This window comes from Homo sapiens, chromosome 4 (assembly GCF_000001405.40).
Source record: "Homo sapiens chromosome 4, GRCh38.p14 Primary Assembly".
Lineage (NCBI taxonomy): Eukaryota > Metazoa > Chordata > Mammalia > Primates > Hominidae > Homo > Homo sapiens.
Window position 1 is genome coordinate 172,293,621 of NC_000004.12, and position 23,604 is coordinate 172,317,224.

Consider the following 23,604-nt stretch of genomic DNA (forward strand, 5'->3'; position numbering starts at 1 on the left):
GCTGGTCATATTGCCTATGTGGGGAAGAGGTCCAGATGGCTACTTATTCTCATTCTCACTTGCACAGGATATAAAATATTAGCAATACATCTGTATAAATTAAAAATATATTATAAATATATTACTATACAAAACATTTTGCATAAATTAAACTGAAATAGATTAAACACAAGAATGCACATAGTAATCACAGCATAATACATTTCCTTAAACTTTTTTTTTAAATTGAAAATATTTTTTATTTATTTATTTATTTGTTTTTATTATACTTTAAGTTTTAGGGTGCATGTGCAAACTTACCTTCAACATTTGTGATATCTAAAAGCCATGACCATTTCAGGGTCTCTGTTAATACTTACCTACGGTCATTTTTTTTTCTTGAACTCATTTAGGATCACAGCCTCTATATTTTCCTTATTATATAGTAAAATGCAATTTCATTCGTCTTCTTACAATGCTACAAATAAGAGATTATAAAATTATTTATTTTATTAGTCTTTTACTTCTTTATTGAAAGAAATCAATCAAAAGGCGTATATCTCCAAATTTTGTCTTCTCTCTTGTAGTTTTCTAATCTTTTTTATTTTGATGCATTTAATCTATTTTGCCCCTTTACCAATGGCTTCTTTATTTTCTTTATAGTTTTTCTTACTTTCTTTGATAGTTTTTAGCATCAACTTCTCATGCTTCAAATGACATTTAAAATACTTCACTCATTATTGTATTGCCCATTTTCTTAGATGTAGTTAAAAATGTTCAGTCCATGACATTCTGACAGTTTGCGATTTTTACTCAAAGGAAGATGCTAGCAGACCAAGTGAGACACATTTGGCAGTTGTGTTCCATTTAGTTTGAGTTAATAAAACAAGGGTGGGGGCAGGGGTATCACTTTGTGAGGAATGCAATGCATGGGAACTAAATCAAGCACTTCTTGGGAATAAATGAGGATAGGAGGGGGAGAGAGAAAACAGAAATTCTGTAGTACATAAATTACAGATATTTTAACAGACAAAAAAAAAACACTTTATCATTAGTCCTTAGTGACTGTAAAAACTTTGTAATTTTATCTGTGTAAGCAGAACCCATATTTGCTAATGGTGAATGAAACTAAATAAGATTCAACATGATTAAAATGTTAACGTGTAATATTTAACAGGATTTCTCCTGCATTGTCTCAGACAAGAAATATTTTTCATGATAATTTGGTAACTACAAAATTAGGAAATAAAAGCTTTTCAGAAGCCCACATAGAAAGCTGAAAAAAGATAGAATACTAAAATTTCTATACAACATGTATATTTTAAACACAGCTAATTATTGATTTCATTCATAGCAAATTCTTAACATCCATGTGTACATATAGATTTATGTTATCTTTTTAAAATATATAGATTCAGCATGAATATAAAAATTTTAACTCTTATTCTAAATAAATATTACATAGTGCTTTCGTTTAATGTAAAAATGTGAGCTATCTCCAGGTACTAGGCATATTAGCAAACTATATCTAAAAATGAAGAGCTGGGCGTGGTGGCTCACGTCTGTAATGCCAGCACTTTGGGAGGCCGAGGTGGGTGGATCACCTGAGGTCAGGAGTTCAAGACCAGCCTGGCCAATATGGCAAAACTCTTTCTACTAAAAATACAAAAAAATTAGCCAGGCATGGTAGCTGATGCCTGTAATCACAGCTACTGGGGAGGCTGAGGCAGGAGAATCACTTGAACCCAGGAGGTGGAGGTTGCAGTGAGCCAAGATCGCACCACTGCACTCGAGCCTGGGCAACAGAGTGAGACTCCATTTAAGAAAAAAAAAAAGTGCCACAATCAGAAAATTGAGACTGAGTATTATTAACAATGACTAGTTATTATCCCCGCATGGTTGCACTGTTTTTTCTTCTTTTCTTTTTTTAGGTTTTTTTTTTTTTTTTTTTTTTTTTGGTAACTAGCTAGTTCTGGTTTACTCTATAACCAAATATGTGTAGTTTTAATTTTCTTCAGCTATGTTCTTATTCATTAATACTGCCTTGGATTTGTAGGTACTGTGCATTTTTCAAATACATTTTTAATTCAGATCCTCAATCTCACTATATACAACACTCCCCCTCTACCCCTCCCACACACACACAGGTCTACCCACCACCATTAACACTACCACTAACGGCAACAATAACAAAAATAAACAGAAATATATAGATCATCATTAGTAACAACCTTGCCAAATTAACTAGTAAGTTAATTTTTATACTTTAAAATTTTGTAGGAAGTTTTGTATACACTCGTTATCAAAAATAAAGTTTTATTTTTTCTTTACTATATACATATATATAGCTTTTATTTTTTCTTGCCTTATATCACTTGATAGTATCAATAGATAGTATCGATAGGGTCCAGTTGAATAGAAGTATTGATGCTTGACATTATTATGTTTCTAACCTCAGGGGGAAAGTGTTCACTAACTCATCAATGATATATGACATTTGCTGTATTTTCATTGTGGATACCCTTTGTCAGATTCATGAAAATTCCCTTCTATTCCTAGCTTTCTGAAAATTTTCATTAAGAATGTGTATCGGCTTTTACTCCAATGAATATTTTGCCTATATTGAGATAACATTAAGACCTATTCTGTTACTGTGGTGAACTATGTATTTATTATATTGAATGTTAAGCCAACATTGTATTTTTGGAATAAATCTCTATTGGTCATGATATATTATATTTTAAAATATTGGTAGATTCAATTTGCTGATTTTTTTATTATACTTTAAGTTTTAGGGTACATGTGCACAACGTGCAGGTCAGTTACATATATATACATGTGGGAGTTGGTGTGCTGCACCCGTTAACTCATCATTTAACATTAGGTATATCTCCTAATGATATCCCTCCCCACTTCCCCCACCCCACAACAGGCCCCAGTGTGTGATGTTCCCCTTCCTGTGTCCATGTGTTCTCATTGTTCAGTTCCCACCTATGAGTGAGAACATGTGGTGTTTGGTTTTTTGTCCTTGCGATAGTTTGCTGAGAATGATGGCTTCCAGCTTCATCCATGTCCCTACAAAGGACATGAACTCATCATTTTTTATGGCTGCATAGTATTCCATGGTGTATATGTGCCACATTTTCTTAATCCAGTCTATCATTGTTGGACATTTGTCTTGGTTCCAAGTCTTTGCTATTGTGAATAGTGCCGCAATAAACAAACGAGTGCATGTGTCTTTACAGCAGCATGATTTATAATCCTTTGGGTATATACCCAGTAATGGGATTGCTGGGTCAAATGGTATTTCTAGTTCTAGATCCCTGAGGAATCACCACACTGACTTCCACAGTGGTTGATCTAGTTTACAGTCCCACCAACAGCGTAAAAGTGTTCCTGTTTCTCCACATCCTCTCCAGCACCTGTTGTTTCCTGACTTTTTAATGATCGCCATTCTGACTGGTGTGAGATGGTATCTCGTGGTTTTGATTTGCATTTCTCTGATGGCCAGTGATGATGAGCATTTTTTCATGTCTCTGTTGGCTGCATAAATGTCTTCTTTTGAGAAGAGTCTGTTCATATCCTTCACCCATTGTTGATGGGGTTGTTTTTTTCTTGTAAATTTGTTTGAGTTCTTTGTAGATTCTGGATATTAGCCGTTTGTCAGATGAGTAGATTGCAAAAATTTTCTCCCATTCTGTAGGTTGCCTGTTCACTCTGATGGTAGATTCTTTTGCTGTGCAGAAGCTCTTTAGTTTAATTAGATCCCATTTGTCATTTCTGGCTTTTGTTGCCATTGCTTTTGGTGTTTTAGACATGAAGTCCTTGCCCATGCCTATGTCCTGAATGGTATTGCCTAGGTTTTCTTCTAGGGTTTTTATGGTTTTAGGTCTAACATATAAGTCTTTAATCCATCTTGAATTAATTTTTATATAAGGTGTAAGGAAGGGATCCAGTTTCAGCTTTCTACCTATGGCTAACCAGTTTTCCCAGCACCATTAAATAGGGAATCCTTTCCCCATTTCTTGTTTTTATCAGGTTTGTCAAAAATCAGATAATTGTAGATATGTGGCATTATTTCTGAGGGCTCTGTTCTGTTCCATTGATCTATATCTCTGTTTTGGTACCAGTACCATGATGTTTTGGTTACTGTTGCCTTGTAGTATAGTTTGAAGTCAGGTGGCATGATGCCTCCAGCTTTGTTCTTTTGGCTTAGGATTGACTTGGCAATGTGGGCTCTTTTTTGGTTCCATATGAATTTTAAAGTAGTTTTTTCCAATTCTGTGAAGAAAGTCATTGGTAGCTTGATGGGGATGACATTGAATCTGTAAATTACCTTGGGCAGTATGGCCATTTTTATGATATTGGTTCTTCCTACCCATGAGCATGGAATGTTCTTCCATTTGTTTATATCCTCTTTTATTTCATTGAGCAGTGGGTTTGTAGTTCTCCTTGAAGAGGTCCTTCACATCCCTTGTAAGTTGGATTCCTAGGTATTTTATTCCCTTTGAAGCAATTGTGAATGGGAGTTCACTCATGATTTGGCTCTCTGTTTGTCTGTTATTGGTGTATAAGAATGCTTGTGATTTTTGCACATTGATTTTGTATCCTGAGACTTTGCTGATGTTGCTCATCAGCTTAAGGAGCTTTTGGGCTGAGATGATGGGGTTTTCTAGATATACAATCATGTCATCTACAAACAGGGACAATTCGACTTCCTCTTTTCCTAATTGAATACCCTTCATTTCCTTCTCCTGCCTGATTGCCCTGGCCAGAACTTCCAACACTATGGTGAATAGGAGTGGTGAGAGAGGGCATCCCTGTCTTGTGCCGGTATTCAAAAGGAATGCTTCCAGTTTTTGCCCATTCAGTATGATATTGGCTCTGGGTTTGTCACAAATAGCTCTTATTATTTTGAGATACGTACCATCAATACCTAATTTCAATACCTAATTTATTGAGAGTTTTTAGCATGAAGGGCTGTTGAATTTTGTCAAAGACCTTTTCTGCATCTATTGAGATAATCATATGGTTTTTGTCATTGGTTCTGTTTATATGCTGGATTGCATTTATTGATTTGCATATGTTGAACCAGGCTTGCATCCCAGGGATGAAGCCCACTTGATCATGGTGGATAAGCTTTTTGATGTGCTGCTGAATTCGGTTTGCCACTATTTTATTGAGGATTTTTGCATCGATGTTCATGAGGGATATTGGTCTAAAATTCTCTTTTTTTGTTGTGTCTCTGCCAGGCTTTGGTATCAGGATGATGCTGGCCTCATGAAATGAGTTAGGGAGGATTCCCTCTTTTTCTATTGATTGAAATAGTTTCAGAAGGAATGGTACCAGCTCCTCCTTGTATCTCTGGTAGAATTTGGCTGTGAATCCATCTGGTCCTGGACTTTTTTTGGTTGGTAAGCTATTAATTATTGCCTCAATTTCAAAGCCTGTTATTGGTCTATTCAGAGATTCAACTTCTTCCTGGTTTAGTCTTGGGAGAGTGTATGTGTCGAGGAATTTATCCATTTCTTCTAGACTTTCTAGTTTATTTGTGTAGAGGTGTTTATAGTATTCTCTGATGGTAGTTTGTATTTCTGTGGAATTGGTGGTGATATCCCCTTTATCATTTTTTATTGCATCTATTTGATTCTTCTCTCTTTTCTTCTTTATTAGTCTTGCTAGTGGTCTATCAATGTTGTTGATCTTTTCAAAAAACCAGCTCCTGGATTCATTGACTTTTTGAAGGGTTTTTTGTGTCTCTATTTCCTTCAGTTCTGCTCTGATCTTAGTTATTTCTTGCCTTCTACTAGCTTTTGAATGTGTTTGCTCTTGCTTCTCTAGTTCTTTTAATTGTGATGTTAGGGTGTCAATTTTGGATCTTTCCTGCTTTCTCTTGTGGGCATTTAGTGCTATAAATTTCCCTCTACACACTGCTTTGAATGTGTCCCAGAGATTCTGGTATGTTTTGTCTTTATTCTCATTGGTTTCAAAGAACATCTTTATTTCTGCCTTCATTTCGTTATGTACCCAGTGGTCATTCAGGAGCAGGTGGTTCAGTTTCCATGTAGTTGAGCAGTTTTGAGTGCGTTTCTTAATCCTGAGTTCTAGTTTGATTGCACTGTGGTCTGACAGACAGTTTGTTATAATTTCTGTTCTTTTACGTTTGCTGAGGAGTGCTTTACTTCCAACTATGTGGTCAATTTTGGAATAGGTATGGTGTGGTGCTGAGAAGAATGTATATTCTGTTGATTTGGGGTGGAGAGTTCTGTAGATGTCTATTAGGTCCGCTTGGTGCAGAGCTGAATTGAATTCCTGGATATCCTTGTGAACTTTCTGTCTTGTTGATCTGTCTAATGTTGACAGTGGGGTGTTAAAGTCTCCCATTATTATTGTGTGGGAGTCTAAGTCTCTTTGTAGGTCTCTAAGGACTTGCTTTATGAATCTGGGTGCTCCTGTATTGGGTGCATATATATATTTAGGATAGTTAGCTCTTCTTGTTGAATTGATCCGTTTACCATTATGTAATGGCCTTCTTTGTCTCTTTTGATCTTTGTTGGTTTAAAGTCTTTTTTATCAGAGACTAGGATTGCAAACCCTGCCTTTTTTTGTTTTCCATTTGCTTGGTAGATCTTCCTTCATCCCTTTATTTTGAGCCCATGTGTGTCTCTGCATGTGAGATGGGTTTCCTGAATACAGCACACTGATGAGTCTTGACTCTTTATCAAATTTACCAGTCTGTGTCTTTTAATTGGAGGATTTAGCCCATTTACATTTAAGGTTAATATTGTTATGTGTGAATTTGATCCTGTCATTATGATGTTAGCTGGTTATTTTGCTCGTTAGTTGATGCAGTTTCTTCCTACCATTGATGGTCTTTACAATTTGGCATGTTTTTGCAGTGGCTGGTACCGGTTGTTCCTTTCCATGTTTAGTGCTTCCTTCAGGAGCTCTTTTCGGGCAGGCCTGGTGGTGTCAAAATCTGTCAGCATTTGCTTGTCTATAAAGGATTTTATTTCTCCTTCACTTATGAAGCTTAGTTTGGCAGGATTTGAAATTCTGGGTTGAAAATTCTTTCTTTAAGAATGTTGAATATTGGCCCCCACTCTCTTCTGGCTTGTAGAGTTTCTGCCGAGATATCAGCTGTTAGTCTGATGGGCTTCCCTTGTGGTAACCCGACCTTTCTCTGTGGCTGCCCTTAACATTTTTTCCTTCATTTCAACTTTGGTGAATCTGACAATTATGTGTCTTGGAGTTGCTCTTCTCGAGGAGTATCTTTGTGGCATTCTCTGTATTTCCTGAATTTGAATGTTGGCCTGCCTTGCTAGATTGGGGAAGTTCTCCTGGATAATTTCCTGCAGAGTGTTTTCCACTTGGTTCCATTCTCCCCGTCATTTTCAGGTTCACCAATCAGACGTAGATTTGGTCTTTTCACATAGTCCCATATTTCTTGGAGGCTTTGTTCGTTTCTTTTTATTCTTTTTTCTCTAAACTTCTCTTCTCTCTTCATTTCATTCATTTGATCTTCCATCACTGATACCCTTTCTTCCAGTTGATCGAATTGGCTACTGAGGCTTGTGCATTCGTCACGTAGTTCTTGTGGCATGGTTTTCAGCTCCATCAGGTCCTTTAAGGACTTCTCTGCATTGGTTATTCTAGTTAGCTATTTGTCTAATCTTTTTTCAAGGCTTTTAAACTTCTTTGCCATGGGTTCGAACTTCCACCTTTAGCTTGGAGTAGTTTGATCGTCTGAAGCCTTCTTCTCTCAACTCGTCAAAGTCATTTGCCGTCCAGCTTTGTTCCATTGCTCGTGAGGAGCTATGTTCCTTTGGAGGAGGAGAGGCACTCTGATTTTTAGAATTTTCAGTTTTTCTGCTCTGTTTTTTCCCCATCTTTGTGGTTTTATCTACCTTTGGTCTTTGATGATGGTGACGTACAGATGGGGTTTTGGTGTGGATGTCCTTTCTGTTTGTTAGTTTTCCTTCTAACAGTCAGGACCCTCAGCTGCAGGTCTGTTGGAGTTTGCTGGAGGTCCACTCCAGACCCTGTTTTCCTGGGTATCAGCTGCGGAGGCTGCAGAACAGCAGATATTGGTGAACAGCAAATGTTGCTGCCTGATTGTGCCTCTTGAAGTTTTGTCTCAGAGGAGTATCCGGCCATGTGAGGTGTCAGTCTGCCCCTACTGGGGGGTGCCTCCCAGTTAGGCTATTCAGGGTTCAGGGACCCACTTGAGGAGGCAGTCTGTCCGTTCTCAGATCTCCAGCTGCGTTGCTGGGAGAACCACTACTCTCTTCAAAGCTGTCAGACAGGGACATTTAAGTCTGCAGAGGTTTGTGCTGCCTTTTGTTTGGCTATGCCCTGCTCCCAGAGGTGGAGTCTACTGAGGCAGGCAGGCCTCCTTGAGCTGCGGTGGGCTCCACCCAGTTCAAGATTCCCAGCCGCTTTGTTTACCTACTCAAGGCTCAGCAATGGCGGGCACCCCTTCCCCAGCCTCGCTGCTGCCTTGCAGTTTGATCTCAGACTGCTGTGCTAGCAATGAGTGAGGCTCTGTGGGCGTAGGACCCTCCGAGCCAGGCATGGGATGTAATCTCCTGGTGTGCTGTTTGCTAAGACTGTCGGAAAAGTGCAGTATTAGGGTGGGAGTGACCCAATTTTCCAGGTGCTGTCTGTCACCCCTTTCCTTGGCTAGGAAAGGGAATTCCCTGACCCCTTGAATTTCCTGGGTGAGGCAATGCCTCACCCTGCTTTGGCTTAGGCCCAGTGCACTGCACCCACTGTTCTTCCCCCACTGTCCGACAATCCCCAGTGAGATGCACCCAGTACCTCAGTTGGAAATGCAGAAATCATTCGTCTTCTGCTTCGCTCATGCTGGGAGCTGTAGACTGGAGCTGTTCCTATTAGGCCATCTTGGCTCCACCTGTCCTTGCTAATATTTTTTAAGGATTTCTCCACCTATCCTCATGAGAGGCATAAATCTGTGGCATTCCTTTCTCACAATGCTCTTACCTGGCTTTGATATCAGATCCATGCTGGCAAGAAAATAAAAATAAGTTCCTCTGTTTTCTAAAAAATTTGTATAAGAATATTACTATTTCTTACTTTATTGTCAGAAAAATTCACCAGAGTGTTCACCTGTGCCTGGAGTTTTCAACTTTTAAAAATAGATATAGGACTATTTTGATATTGAATTTCTTCTTGTTAATCTTGGTAACTTTTTTTTTTAAGAAGGAATCTATTCATTTAAGTTTGGCTGTTTGTTTTCTATATGTCTCATTTGTTATATAATCCTTGATTCATCCTTTTTCTGCTTTGTTGTTACACAGACAGGATTTTTATTACTTCATTTCTCTTTATTGTTAGGTTTTATATTAGACATTCTTGTGCTACATTTAAATTTTTATTTATTTATTTTTATTTTTTTGAAATGGAGTCTCACTCTGTCACCCAGGCTGGAGTGCAGTGGTGCGATTTTGGCTCACTACAACCTCTGCCGCCCAGGTTCAAGCGATTCTCCTGCCTCAGCCTCCCGAGTAACTGGAATTACAGGCATCTGCCACTGTGCCCAGCTAATTTTTGTAGTTTTAGTAGAGATGGGGTTTCACCATCTTGGCCAGGCTGGTCTTGAACTCCTGACCTTGTGATCCACCTGTCTCAGCCTCCCAAAGTGCTGGGATTACAGACGTGAGCCACAGCGCCTGGCATTACCCTAGAGATGTCAGTATGGATTATTAACTTACTACACTTCACTCTGATTAAGATGTACTACTTCCAGAATAAGGCATCCCCAACAATTTACTACCTTTCTGGTTATGTCTGTTACTACTCCACCTTATGAAAACCACACTCTTGCCATACCAAACCTTAGTTGCGATTCCTAATCTCCCTGTATGCACTCATCTCTCAGTATCATGTCTGTGACACTTGTTTTCTGCCTGCCTACCTGTTGCCTTTAAAAAAATAAATTGTATTGTGTATATTTAAGGCTCACAATATAATGTTATGGGATACACATAGATTGTAAAATTATTACTATAGTGAAGCAGATTAACATATGTATTATCTCAGTTACTTTTGTTTGTGTGACAACAGCAGATAAAATCTACTTATTTAACAAAACTCCCTAATACAATACCATTTTATTACCTTAATCCTTATGTACATTAGAGCTCTAAGCTTGTTTATCTTACATATATGCTGTTTTATATCTTTTGACTTACATCTCCCCATTTCCAAACTGCCCTCACTCCCCTGCCCCTGCCCAAGAATGAAACAGTAGTTACTGTCTGTTTATGTGTCCCATCTCATTGTGATAAATCCTTTGTCTGCCTCATAATACAAAGTGCATTAATTCATTTCTCCATTCATTTCAGAGGGGAACAAATCACTTTGCTAATGATTTCTCACCCAAAGACATAAAGACACATTCCCAGCTCTCAATGCTCCTAGATTATTAAAATATGTTTTAAATCACAATATTCTGGGTTTTTTTTCTCTCAAACTTGATATCAGAGTTAATAACTGTGGTGTTCATATTTCATCCCCAGACCTTGTCACAGAGTAGGTGCTTAATATGTGCTTTTGAATAAGTACATGAATAACTTTCTTCATTTCCCCTGAGTAATAAGCCCAAATTCTTAGCACCTCATTTTCATATGGCACTCATAAAATATGTGTGGCGTACCTGTTATGTGGCAGTCACTCTTGTTGCTGCTGGAGACATTACGATGAAGATCAAAAAGTTCCTGCTTCTGCGGAGCATACATCCCAATGGGAACATTAGTCGGTTAATAGGTGAAAACATAAGTGTAGAATAGTAAGTAGTATATGGGAAAAAAAAAAGCAAATTTGGGAAATAGGTCCTGATGTCCTGGGTATGCTGGTTTAATTGTGTTAATTATGAAAACTCTCTCCAAAAAATCATATTTGAGCAGAGGTCTGGCTATAAAAATTCTTGAGTGTTTCAGCTGCTTATTGCTCAAAATTCCTCAGAAGAAGTGTAAAAACACTGATTTATGTTTCTCTTGTATTCTAGTTACTTGTAAGAAATACTTAAAATACTTTAAAGTGTCACTAGCAGGGTTTTTTTTCCCCCGGACATAAACCTACTTTATCTCTCAGTATTCCATCTTAAGAGATCTCTATTTAGATAGACTTATTATGTTCCAAACAGGATTTTCAAAAGTCTTGTCTGTACAAATTCATTCACCCCCATTTCTTCTTATGTAAAGTCTCCCTAGCCCCGTACTTAACACAAAAACTATTTTAATTCTCTACTCTTCTTCCAATGTGAGCTGAAATCTCACTTTTTCTAGTTGCAGTTTCCAGGTTATACAAAGTTCATTAGTTTTCCACAATTTTGAAACTCTTCTAGGTCTTATTGTTTAGTTCATTCAATTCCACAAATATGTTACCATATCACAATTGCTGGTTTATAAGTTTTCCCTATATCTTTTCAATTATAGAATATTTCTAGCTGTTTGGATAGGGGTTATACTATCCATATTTTCAGTTTCCCTACCCAGTGGTGCATATAGTAGACAATCAATAAACATATCAAAAATTGGTAGGTGTGCCAATGTACAAGACTGCCATACTAAATAAAATGTCATTTAGCCAGGGGGAAAAATGCCAGGTAGACAATGAGAAAATTAACATAAATTACATGTTAAGTATCTACTATCTGCCTTAAGTATACATAGTATCAAAGACATATTTGTAAGACAGCAATTTTTCTGCTTAATACTTATATATTTAAATATAATATTTAATTTGTATATTTTGATTATTTAAAACATCTCACATACCTTTCATACTAATTTGAACATAGCAGATGGTACACTAATTCTCATATTTAAAGAAAGATGCTGTATTGATTTTACATTTGATAATAGTAAATTATATTATAAATTTTAGTGTTGAAATAGATGTAGCAATAGAGAAATAATCACTGTTAAATCCTCTGAGTATTATCATAAATATTCAAACATACAATTTTTTTTTTGTTTAGAGTCTTCTGCTTTATTTTGTTTTGTTGTTTGCAAAAGCAATGTAAGACTGTATGAGACAATATAAACCTTGAGGCTCTACCTATTAGAACTTAAGATGAGTTGATAGAATTTGCAGTAAAAACTGCTGGCTTTGTGTATAAAAACATACCATTTTAAATCCTATTCTCACAACTGCAAAGAAGGAATGTCTAGTATGCCATAATTGGTGACTCACCAGTTTTGTTTTATACCTTTAGAGAATCATTCATTCATTTAAAAAGCTTTATCTCATGAGATTCATCACTCTGAACACCAAATTGATGTACAAATAAAATAAATTTCCCTTTAATTGACAGATGGTCTAATGAATGTGTAGCTTCAAATTTTTATTTTGTAGTCTTAGAAGTGACAGAATCTAAAGGCTCAGCACTAAAAATATGCGTACAAACATTTTTTAAAAGAAGCTTTGGGTGGATGTATACATTTTACTTAGGGCATATGAATTTGAAAATAAAAATATGTTGGCCGGGCGTGGTGGCTCATGCCTGTAATCTCAGCACTTTGAGAGGCCAAGCTGGGAAAGTAACCTGAGGCCAGAAGTTCGAGACCAACCTGGCTAACATGGTGAAACCCTGTCTCTACTAAAAATACAAAAATTAGCTGGGCATGGTGGCAGGTGCCTGTAATCCCAGCTACTCGGGAGGCTGAGGCAGGAGAATTGCTTGAACTTGGGAGGTGCAGCTTGCAGTGAGCCGAGATCGCGCCACTGCACTCCAGTCTGGGTGACAGAGCAAGATTCCATCTCCAATAAATGAATAAATAAATAAATAAATGAAAACAAAAATATGTTGAAGAAAGGAAAGGCTACTTTACAGTACAATTTTCTTTTTTAATTATTTCCATTGTTTGGGAAAACAGGTGGTGTTTGTTTACATGGATAAATTTTTTAGTGGTGACTTCTGAGATTTGGGTGTACCCATCACCTAAGCAGTGCACACTGAACCCAATGTGTAGTCTTTCACCCTTTACCCTGGTAGCTTTACCCCTGAGTGCCCAGAGTCCATAATATTATTATTATGCCTTTGTGTCCTCATATCATAGCTCCCACTTACAAGTGAGAACATACGATGTTTGATTTTCCATTCCTGAGTTATTTCACTTAAAATGATGGTCTACAGCTCCATACAGGTTGCTACAAATGCCATTATTTCATTCCTTTTTTTGGCTGAGTAGTATTCCATGGTATGTATATGCTACATTTTCTTTACACACTCATTGGTTAATGAGCATTTAGGCTGGTTCCATATTTTTGCAATTGCGAATTGTGCTGTTATAAACATGCATATGTAAGTGTCTTTTTCTTATGATGACTTCTTTCCTTCTGAGTGGATACCCAGTAGAGGGCTTGTGAATCAAATGGTAGTTCTACTTTTAGTTCTTTAAAAAATTTCCATACTGTTTTCCATAGTGGTTGTACTAGTTTACATTCCCACCAGCAGTGTAAAAGTGTTCCTCTTTAATCACATGCACACCAACATCCACTATTTTTTGATTTTTAAATTGTGGCCATTCTCACAGGAGTAAGATGGTATCATATTATGGTTTTAATTTGGATTTCCTTCATAATTAGTGATGTTGAGCACTTTTTCATATGTTTGATTCTGTATGTTAGTCCTTTGTCAGACACATAGTTTGTGAAGATGTTTTCCCACTCTGTTGGTTTTCTGTTTACTCTGCTGATTATATCTTTCACTGCACAGAAACTTTTGAGTTTAATTAAGTCCCATCTATTTATCTTTGTTTTTCTTGCATTTGCTTTGGGGTTCTTGGTCATGAAGTCTTTGCCTAAGCCAATGTCTAGAAGGGGTTTTCTGATTTTATCTTCTAGAATTTTTATGATTTTAGGTCTAAGATTTAAGTTTTTGATCCATCTTGAGTTGATTTTTGTATAAATTGAGAGATGAGGATCCAGTTTTGTTCTTCTATATGTGGCTTGCCAATTATTCCAGCAAGATTTGTTGAATAGGATGTCCTTTCTCCACTTTGTGTTTTTGTTCGCTTTGTCAAAAATCAGTTGGCTGTAAGTATTTGCCTTTATTTCTGGGCTCTCAATTCTGTTCCAGTGGTGTACATGCCTGTTTTTATACCAGTACCATGCTGTTTTGATAACTATAGCCTTGTAGTATAATTTGAAGTCAGGTAATGTGATGCCTCCAGATTTGTTCCTTTTTCTTTGTCTTGCTTTGGTTATGTGGGATCTTTTTTAGTTCCATATGAATTTTAGGATTGCTTTTTCTAGTTCTGTGAAGAATTATAGTATTTTGATTGGAATTGCATTAAATGTATAGATTGCTTTTGGTAGTATGGTCATTTTCACAATATTGATTCTACCCATCCATGAGCATGGGATGTGTTTTAACTTTTTTTTTTTTTTTTTTTTTTTTTTTTTTACGGCTCTTGTAACAGTGGTTAAGTTGTTGATTTGATTCTCAGCTTAGTCACCATTGGTACATAGCAGTGTTACTGATTTGTATTCATCGATTTTGTATACCGAAACTTTACTGAATTCATTTACCAGTAAATGAATTTTTACTGTTTACTGGTAAATGAATTCAGTAAAGTAGTAAACTAAGAGTTTTTTGGATGAGTCTTTAGGGTTTTCATGGTACATGATTATATCATTGGTGAACCATGACAGTTTCACTTCCTTTTTACCAACTTGGATGCCCCTTATTTCTTTCTGTTGTCTGATTGTCCTGGCTAGGACTTCCAGGACTATGTTGAAAAGAAGTGGTGAAAGTGGGCATCCTTGTTTTTTTCCAGTTCTCAGGCAAATGCTGTGAACTCCCTCCTGTCCCATTCAATATAATGTTGCTTGTGGGTTTGTCATAAATGGCTTTTATTACCTTGAGGTATGTCCCTTCTATGCCAATTTTACTGAGGGTTTTCATCATAAAGGGATGCTGGATTTTGTCAGATGCTTTTTCTGCATCTATTGAGATAATCATATGATTTTTGTTTTTAGTTCTGTGTATGTGGTGTATCACATTTATTGACTTGCACCTGGCATAAAATTTTCTTTTTAAATAGGATGTATGGAATGACATAGATCTAGTTAAAACCAGAGACTATATAAGTCCAAGAGACCTTACAGCAAATTTTGTCATTAATGGAAGAAAGATTTATGTCGTTTAAACATTTCCGCACGTTATATGGCTAATTTCTAACTATGGAAGTGCTAGTGAACATTAGTCTCTCTTTTATTTACTTACATGTAACTTAGGTAGCAGAATGTTTATTTCAAGGCGTAACTGTGTTGGGTTAAAAATTTATATGAAGTAATTTAACACAATACTTTGTATATCATGGATGCTCAATAACTAGCTGTTATATACATGAAATTTCTCACTGATTTGTTTTCCATTTACGTTGAAAAGTAATAAATGACATTTTCTCCTAAGAAATCAAACAGGGAAGCAAAGAAGATGAAATTTGTTTTTTTTTGTTTTTATTTTTGGTTTTTTGGGGCCAAATGTCATTTAAAGATTTTTGTTTCTTTTCCTTTGATTGGAGAGGTTTCCAGTCTGCTTTTTGAGAATATAATTTCTTATCAATCCCCAGCCGTATGATCTTGGCTGTCAGGGCTATTGAATTTAAGGGCAGTAGTAGTAAGAAACTAAGAAAAGAAAGATACTTTTTTTTTGAGGAATCACTGATATGGAAACCAAATTTTCTAACAAAATCTTGAATTCTAGTAATACAAAATGAATAACATGTTTGTAAATCAAGGTTACTAAAGTGAAAAATATAAAAATCTCTAAAGATTTTTAAAAAGTGTTTTTAAAATCATATTAATGAATAAAGACCTTGTTTTAAAGGGTACTAGAAATATTATTTCTTAAATGATGAGTTATAGATGCATATTATTAGACACTCAAGCACATACACACACAAATACATATTAATTACTCAGCTTAATTCTGTAATACTTAACAGCAATTGTATTAAAGTCAATACCAGAGTAAATGCCTGTTAATAATTATTTATTGTTAACTATATAATTAGATAAGAAATCATGAGTTATGAAGAAAGAGGAGGCAAAAATATTATTATTTGAAGTAAACATTGTGTATCTGTAAAACACTAGTTTTTAAAAATTATTTAAAAATAGTTCAGTTTGGTAGCTGAATAAGAAGTATAAAAATAAATAACTTTAGTGTGTGCTATTTAGAAAAATGTAATGAAGGAAAGGATACTACAAACAATACAATGAAGGTAAAACACATCTACAAAAATTTACCAAAAATTGCATAGGACTAAAAGAATGAAAATTGTATAAAACGCCACTGAGGTCCAAAAGCAGAACACTTGAAAAATAGCTGATATATATAAAAATATCAATTATATAAGGATGAACCTGAAAATCTAATGTAATCTAAAAAACAAAATCCAGAAAGGCCAGTTTATTAAACCGTTCATACAGAAAAATAAACATGTTATCAGTTGGAAAAAGAATACAGTAAGAAATGGCTTTGCATATATTAAAAGGGGTTACTAATGATGTTTCCAATGCAAGCATTGGCATAGCAGTGAATGCCATGATAATGTTTAAATATGCATGAGCAAGTGTACAAAATTTTGTACATAGCATTTTAAAGCAGGGAAGAAAAAAGCAAATTACTCGATAATTTTTTTTTTTTTTAATATGACAGGGTCTTGTTCTGTCACCCATGCTGGAATGCAGTGGCCCAATCTTGGCTTATTGCAACCTCTGCCTTCTGGGTTCAAGCGATTTTCATTCCTCAGCCTCCCCAGTAGCTGAGATTGCAGGTGTGTGCCACCACGCCTGCCTAATTTTTGTATTTTTAGTAGAGACGGCATTTCGCCAGGTTGGCCAGGCTGGTCTCAAACTCCTGGCCTCAGGTGATCAGCCTGCCTTGACCTCCCAAAGTGCTGGGATTATAGACCTGAGCCACTATGACCAGCCTCAATAAATAGTATTTCTATAACTGCCTGAACATTTGCTTTGAAAAAAATAAAAATTATATTTATCGCACTTCTCACACCAAAACATATTCCAGATGTTTCAAAAATTTTGATAGATAAAATAAAAACAGAATGGTAGTAAAACTCTGAGTTTTTAAATAGATACTAAAAGTGATACTAGACTAGGGAAGGCCTTCTTTGTAAATATATAAAATATAAAACGAGAAATTATAAAAGAAAAAAGTAAAATCATCTGGATGGAAAAATTAATCTGATTTAATAAAATAAAATATTTGCAACATATGTAATTAACAAAAATATAATAAATATAGTATGTAAAAAACAAAAACTGTTTTTAAAAATGCTTGAACAATCATTTCACAATGAAGGAAATACAAATGATAAAGATATAAGAAATTATTAATTCATAGTAATCAAGAAATGTCAAATTAAAATATGAGGAATATATATTTTACTGATGAAGCTGAAAATTTACAGTGTGTCTCAGGATGTGTCAAAACTGTTATATGTACTTTAAAGATATCTCAGTAATTCCATTTCTGGGGATTTATGCTTCCCCTTCAAAAATGCATAACTGTGAAAAGCAAAGATGTTCATTGTAATGGAAAAATTAGAAATAATAGTATATTTTCAGTGGAATGGTGTAAATTGGAATACAATCAAATAACATCAACTATTGGAAGTAAATAAAAAGTATACAATTATTCTGGAAAAATCAAGTTACAAATCAGTGTGTGTATTAAAATCTGCATACAAGTATTAATAAACGTACACTAAAAATCTTGGCAGTGGTTCTCTCTGCAATGTGAGATTACACTTTCTACTTCTGTGTGGTTTGCTTTTTATATTGAGTATATTTCATTTACTTAAAGGCAATTAAAATAATATAATAAAATCTTAGTACTAGCTCCTTCTGCAGAGCACAGCAATAGGCGATAATACACATTCCAGTCTTCCTATCTGTTCTAGAAGATAAAATGGCTTTTATAGAGATGATAATCTCATTTTGTTTTCTCCTGCTAGGGAAAGGTGAACATGGGAAACCTTACCCCCTTACTGAAGAGGACCATGATGACTCAGCTTACAGGGAAAATGGTTTTAATATTTTCGTCAGCAACAATATTGCTCTAGAGAGGTCTCTGCCAGATATTCGTCATGCTAAGTGAGTATCAGCATATCAGTGATCAGGGTGGGTTTTTTTGGTTTTTTTTGTCCTTTGATTTTTTTTTAAATGTGTATCACTGCGAGATATGTAACCAAATATTTTATCCTAATAATTTTGATAAAAACTCATATTGCATCATCTTAAATATACTTGACCTAAATTGGAGTAACCATTAAAATTTTAAAACAATACTGAATTTCTAAAAATCCAATACACATTTTTGTTGACTGTGTTAACTCATTAACATAAAATATTTTAAGGCAATATCCATACTTTTAACTTTTGATCATGTAAATTACAAAGCAAATGTTTTTTGCTGGTTATTAGAGCTACCAGAACTGTCTACATGTGCATGTCTTCTATGAACTTCATTCTCACCCCAGACAGATTTAGTGCCATGGTTGTTGCATTTTCATAAAGAATACCCTAAATGAATGCATCCATAATCCAAAAGTGATAAGTAGTGATTGCTGGTTCAATTTCTTGTCACTTTATGAACTGCTTGTGGCTTGTCTGTTGACAGTGAGTTGAGTTTCTATTGAACTGTAACTGCATATTATAGTTGAAATGATACTACTATATATACTTACCCCAAATCCATCTTTTCTCTATCCACCCCCATCTACATCTAACATCACTTATTGTACTTTTCATTTTAATGTGTTATTGTTTTCCTAATAGCATAAACACCACCAAAGGATACTAACTGAGAACATGGAATGTGATAAGAATTTGTAATGTAGTGTTGGCACATGTATCTGATAAATCTATCTAACTGTACTAATATAGCTATCCTTTCACCCACAACAACCCAAAAACTTCCCTATGGAAACCCTGGTGTGAGAGAGAGAAAATCAAGGAAAAAAAATCAGGGCAACTAATTAAAATAAGAATCAGAAATCTAAATTAAACCAGTAATTTAAAGCGAATAAAACTCCTTAACTTTGTGCAAAGATAATTGACCCTTTAGAAAAAAATATCAGTACATTATGGTTTGAAGGACTATTTTCTAGTTGCCATTTTGTATCTTTAGAAATTTATTTAAAATTATGAAATAATTACTGTTTTTCTCCTCATGTTTTATATGAAGTTGCATTTCCCAATATAGCTAAACAGAGGACTAATGTGAAGAACAATCTTTTTTTCCTAAATTGAGTGCTTTATATATTGACCCAGGCCTTTTAACCAGCCAAATTATCCCCACGTTACCTGAAATTATCTACAGTAATTCTCACTGACCAAGAACATTTCTAGTTACGAGAAATTTTAATACCTAATTGCACATCATCAAAGATGCATTAAGTTGCATTGTTGGCATAATAAATATGCTAAGAGAGTAATTTTTATCTATCCAGTTCCCCCCCCCACCCCCACACTTCTTTTTTTTTTAGGTGGAGTCTCCCACTGTCGCCCAGGCTGGAGTGCAGTGGCTTGATCTCGGCTCACTGCAAGCTCCGCCTCCTGGGTTCACGCCATTCTCCTGCCTCAGCCTCCCGAGTAGCTGGGACTACAGGCGCCTGCCACCATGCCGGCTAATTTTTTGTATTTTTAATAGAGACGGGATTTCACCTGTTAGCCAGGATAGTCTCGATCTCCTGACCTCGTGATCCGCCCACCTCAGCCTCCCAAAGTGCTGGGATTACAGGCTGAGCCACCGTGCCCGGTCCCCACCCCAACACTTCTAATCTCAATCTCTTAATGTGTATTCAAGTGGAAATAATGACAAGTTTAGAAACAGTGCAGAAAATCACTGAAGTCAAAAGAAGACAGTTATTCCCATTCTTCTCAAAAACTATTTTTAGTGTGAACACCATCTTTTAAGAAAAGATCTTATGTAATAATGGGAAAAAAATGGAAAGATGTAAAAAAAATTCTGAAATTTTTATTAGGGTTACTCAATTTACAATATGAAGAAAGCATTATTATAAATGTTACGGAAGAAAAATATGGCCAAAATATAATCTGGGATAATATTCCAACTTAGTTACTAAGGCTGGATATTTAATAGGACAAGTGGTCATGTAGTAAGAAAAAAAGAAAAAATACGAAAACAAACAACAACAGCAACAAAAACCTTGAGAGGGTTTGAGATGGATAAAAAGAAAGTGTTAAGTATACTACCAGGAATAAGGTTCACCTTGGTGAGGTCAGTATTTGACTCTTAGCAATGCTGGAAGAGAAGCCTGATGTCACCTCTGATTTTGCCATGCTCCACCTGCAGGAAACGGAGAGCCAAATAATGTCTTACAGGCTCCCACTGTTTAAAGTACTATGCTTTTGACTTCATCTGTGCTTCACCAAAGGCAGGGCAGGTACATTTAACCACAAGAGTATGCAGCTCTGTGTAAGTGATCTTTGAAATTATAAGATCAACTTGTGACATATTTCAGTATTATCTATTTAACTAGGCTGAAAGTGATGGACCATAGCTTTTTTATATTGACACAATCTATAGAATAGAATGCAAACTTTGTGTGACTTTTAAAATAAAACATCACTTCTAAGAAACTTTTCCTTTTCAGTAAGCCAATTGAAACTAGTCTCAGAGTGCTAGGAGGGAAGAGTTTATTTTTCTTTATTCTAGGATTTTGCAATGGAAGATATGGGGACTCCTATCTTGAGATTTAACTGAACTTGATCTTATTCTAAAGCATACTAGCCGGACTTATGCCATGTGATAAACTATTGGTCACTCCCTGTATATTTAAGTGCTCTGTACTCTTTCATATTCTCACATTTAGTTAAAAAAAATCATGGTTTTATATGTTTTGATATGTAGTGCACATTCTAGTACACAATGAAGAATATTTAAGACAATGTATTTCAGAAATCCTAATGCGTAGGCTTTTTTTTTTTTTTTTTTTTTTTTTGAGGCAGAGTCTCCCTCTGTAGCCCAGGCTGGATGGCAATGATGCGATCTTGGCTCACTGCAACCTCCGCCTCCTGGGTTCAAGCGATTCTCCTGCCTCAGCCTCCCGAGTAGCTGAGATTACAGGCACCTGCCACCAAGCCTGGCTAAATTTTTTGTATTTTTAGTAGAGACAGGGTTTCACCACGTTGGCCAGGCTGGTCTCAAACTCCTGAACTCAGGTGATCCGCCTGCCTCGGCCTCCCAAAGTGCTGGGATTATAGGCGTGAGCCACTGTGCCAGGCCTGCATAGGGATTTTTTAAAGAAATTTTCTGATTCATTTCTTCACTAGTATAAAAATAAACTGCTTTTTTTGGCTTTATTATTTCAGAATCAGCATAGATTTCCTTAAGTAGGAGCCATAGACGAAGGACAGTATATTGGCATGTGTGCAATAATTTGATCAGTCTTACTTTTATCCAAAAAATAAATTTCAAGCTTTTCACTTTTGTTTTTAATTTTTAAAATAGTTTTTCCAAATGCTCTTAACATCTCTCTATCTTACAAATTGTTTCAGCTTCTTACACTATCTGTGCTTTGGTATGTCAAATTTTTAATCTTTTTTTATATTCTCCTAGCCCTACACTTTGGGTTGATTTTATTTATTTATTTTTTTGAGATGGAGTTTCACTCTTGTTGCCCACGCTGGAATGCAATGGTGCAATCTCAGCTCACTGCAACCTCTGCCTCCCGGGTTCAAGCAATTCTCCTGCCTCAGCCTCCCAAGTAGCTGGGATTACAGGCATGCGCCACCACACCTGGCTAATTTTGTATTTTTAGTAGAGACAGAGTTTCTCCATGTTGGCCAGGCTAGTCCTGACCTCAGTCTGCCTGCCTTGGCCTCCCAAAGTGCTAGGGTTATAGGCATGAGCCACTGTGCCTGGCCCTGGTTGATTTTTATATATTTTTTGAGCATATACTTGATGTATTTTAAATACTCACTCCCTTCTTCTGTTAGTGCCAAGTCATGTCTGTATCCATAGTGCCTGTGATCAGCCTGAATCTCTCCTTAGAACATCTTATCTTTATATTTTATTTAATGCAATGTTGAAAAGAATTTTACAATGAGCACTTCTGTATGACAAATGTCCAGTCAATGGATATCTCGGTGGCCTGGTTTTATTTTGCCACACTTTAAGGTTTTCTCCACTTGTGTATTGATTTTGCCATGTCTTTGTATTTAGTCATCTACCTGAGATGTCACATATATTCTTAGCATGCTATGGAACACCTTATTTAACTTATAGTTCAGGATGGGAGACATAAGACATCTATTTGAAATATACATATAAAATAGGGAAATAGAAAACTATGTAAAAATGGCCTATATAGAAAAGAAGCTCTGATAAATTTGTGCATGAATATGTTGTTGCTAAGATAAAATTGAAGAATTTTTAAGCAAGTATTATTCCCTGCATATGGAAGAATTAATCAAAAGTTATCACAAATACCCCGTAAACATGATATAATTAGTGTAATTAATGTGGGTAAGAAAAATTCATATCTATGAAAAAAGGAATAATTGAGATAAAGAGCTAGAAGAACCATTCTAATAGGAGAGTTGAGGTAGGCTTCACAGCAGTTTTGGGTAAATGCATCTTTGATATGAGTTTCATTTTTTTGGCCGTTATAAAAGTATATGTGTTTATACAGATAAATATTTATGCACCTACATGTTACCTGAGATAGACTTCTAAGGTGGCTGAGTAGCTGGGATATTTTAAAATTAATATAGTCTCACTTTGTATTGTGACTTTTTATCATTTCTTTTTTATATCACTAATATTACCCAGGTAGAAATAGTTTTAGCTTCATGACTTTGACAATAAATGGAGTATGAGGTATCACAGAGTGTTCTCTCAACACTCAATATTCCATTGCTTGTCAAAGCCATGAAGCTAAAACTATTTCTGTCTAAGAGAATCTTTACAACCTTTTGGATTATATGATTGTTTTCAGTAGGGTTGCAGTTATACCAGACTAATGTAGTCCTGTTTCCTGTAGTTTCAGAACCATTTGAGAGATAGCCCCAGAAACGATTTGCTATGAAAACATTCGCTTTATTATTGTTGCAATTCTATTGGTGAGCATGGTTTAGATGCAGGCCAAGTATTATACTCAAGACTGAAGTCCAGAATGAGGCACATTCAGTCTTCAAGTCACAGACATTGCTGGATAGCATAATCAAAATTGTCAAACTTAAGTCATGGATGGCAGAATAAGATGACTGATCTCCGCAGGCAAGCAGGTTCCAAAGCAGAAAAAAATGAAGAAGGAGCTGGCCAACTACAGTAAGCTTTGTAACCCAAACCCACGAATCTCTTTCTCCGGGAAAGAAACTCTGAAAAGGTGGAGAAAGGCCAGGTGCGTTTGTCTAATGACTGTCCTGCCACATGGGAACATCTGTAGAGAAAAGAAGTCTCCTCCTGTGATAAGTAGTACATACTTACAAGTACTTACATGAAGTACTTACAAAGTCAGCACTATATGCTATTTCTTGATATATACAGACTTTTGAGCAAACTCTTGATTTTTCAGTGCCTTATATTCTAAATACTCC

The 23,604-nt window shown here is 35.8% G+C and overlaps 1 protein-coding gene across 4 annotated transcripts in view; it reads left to right on the forward strand.

The window, feature by feature from the left end:
* The window catches only part of GALNTL6 (polypeptide N-acetylgalactosaminyltransferase like 6), a 1,228,156-nt gene that overhangs the window by 480,217 nt on the left and 724,335 nt on the right, over positions 1-23,604 (forward strand). For all 4 annotated transcript variants that reach the window (NM_001034845.3, XM_017008243.3, XM_017008244.3 and 1 more), the window contains one exon: positions 17,994-18,132. In NM_001034845.3, the coding sequence (NP_001030017.2) occupies positions 17,994-18,132 (139 nt within the window). The remainder of the gene's footprint in view (positions 1-17,993; positions 18,133-23,604) is intronic.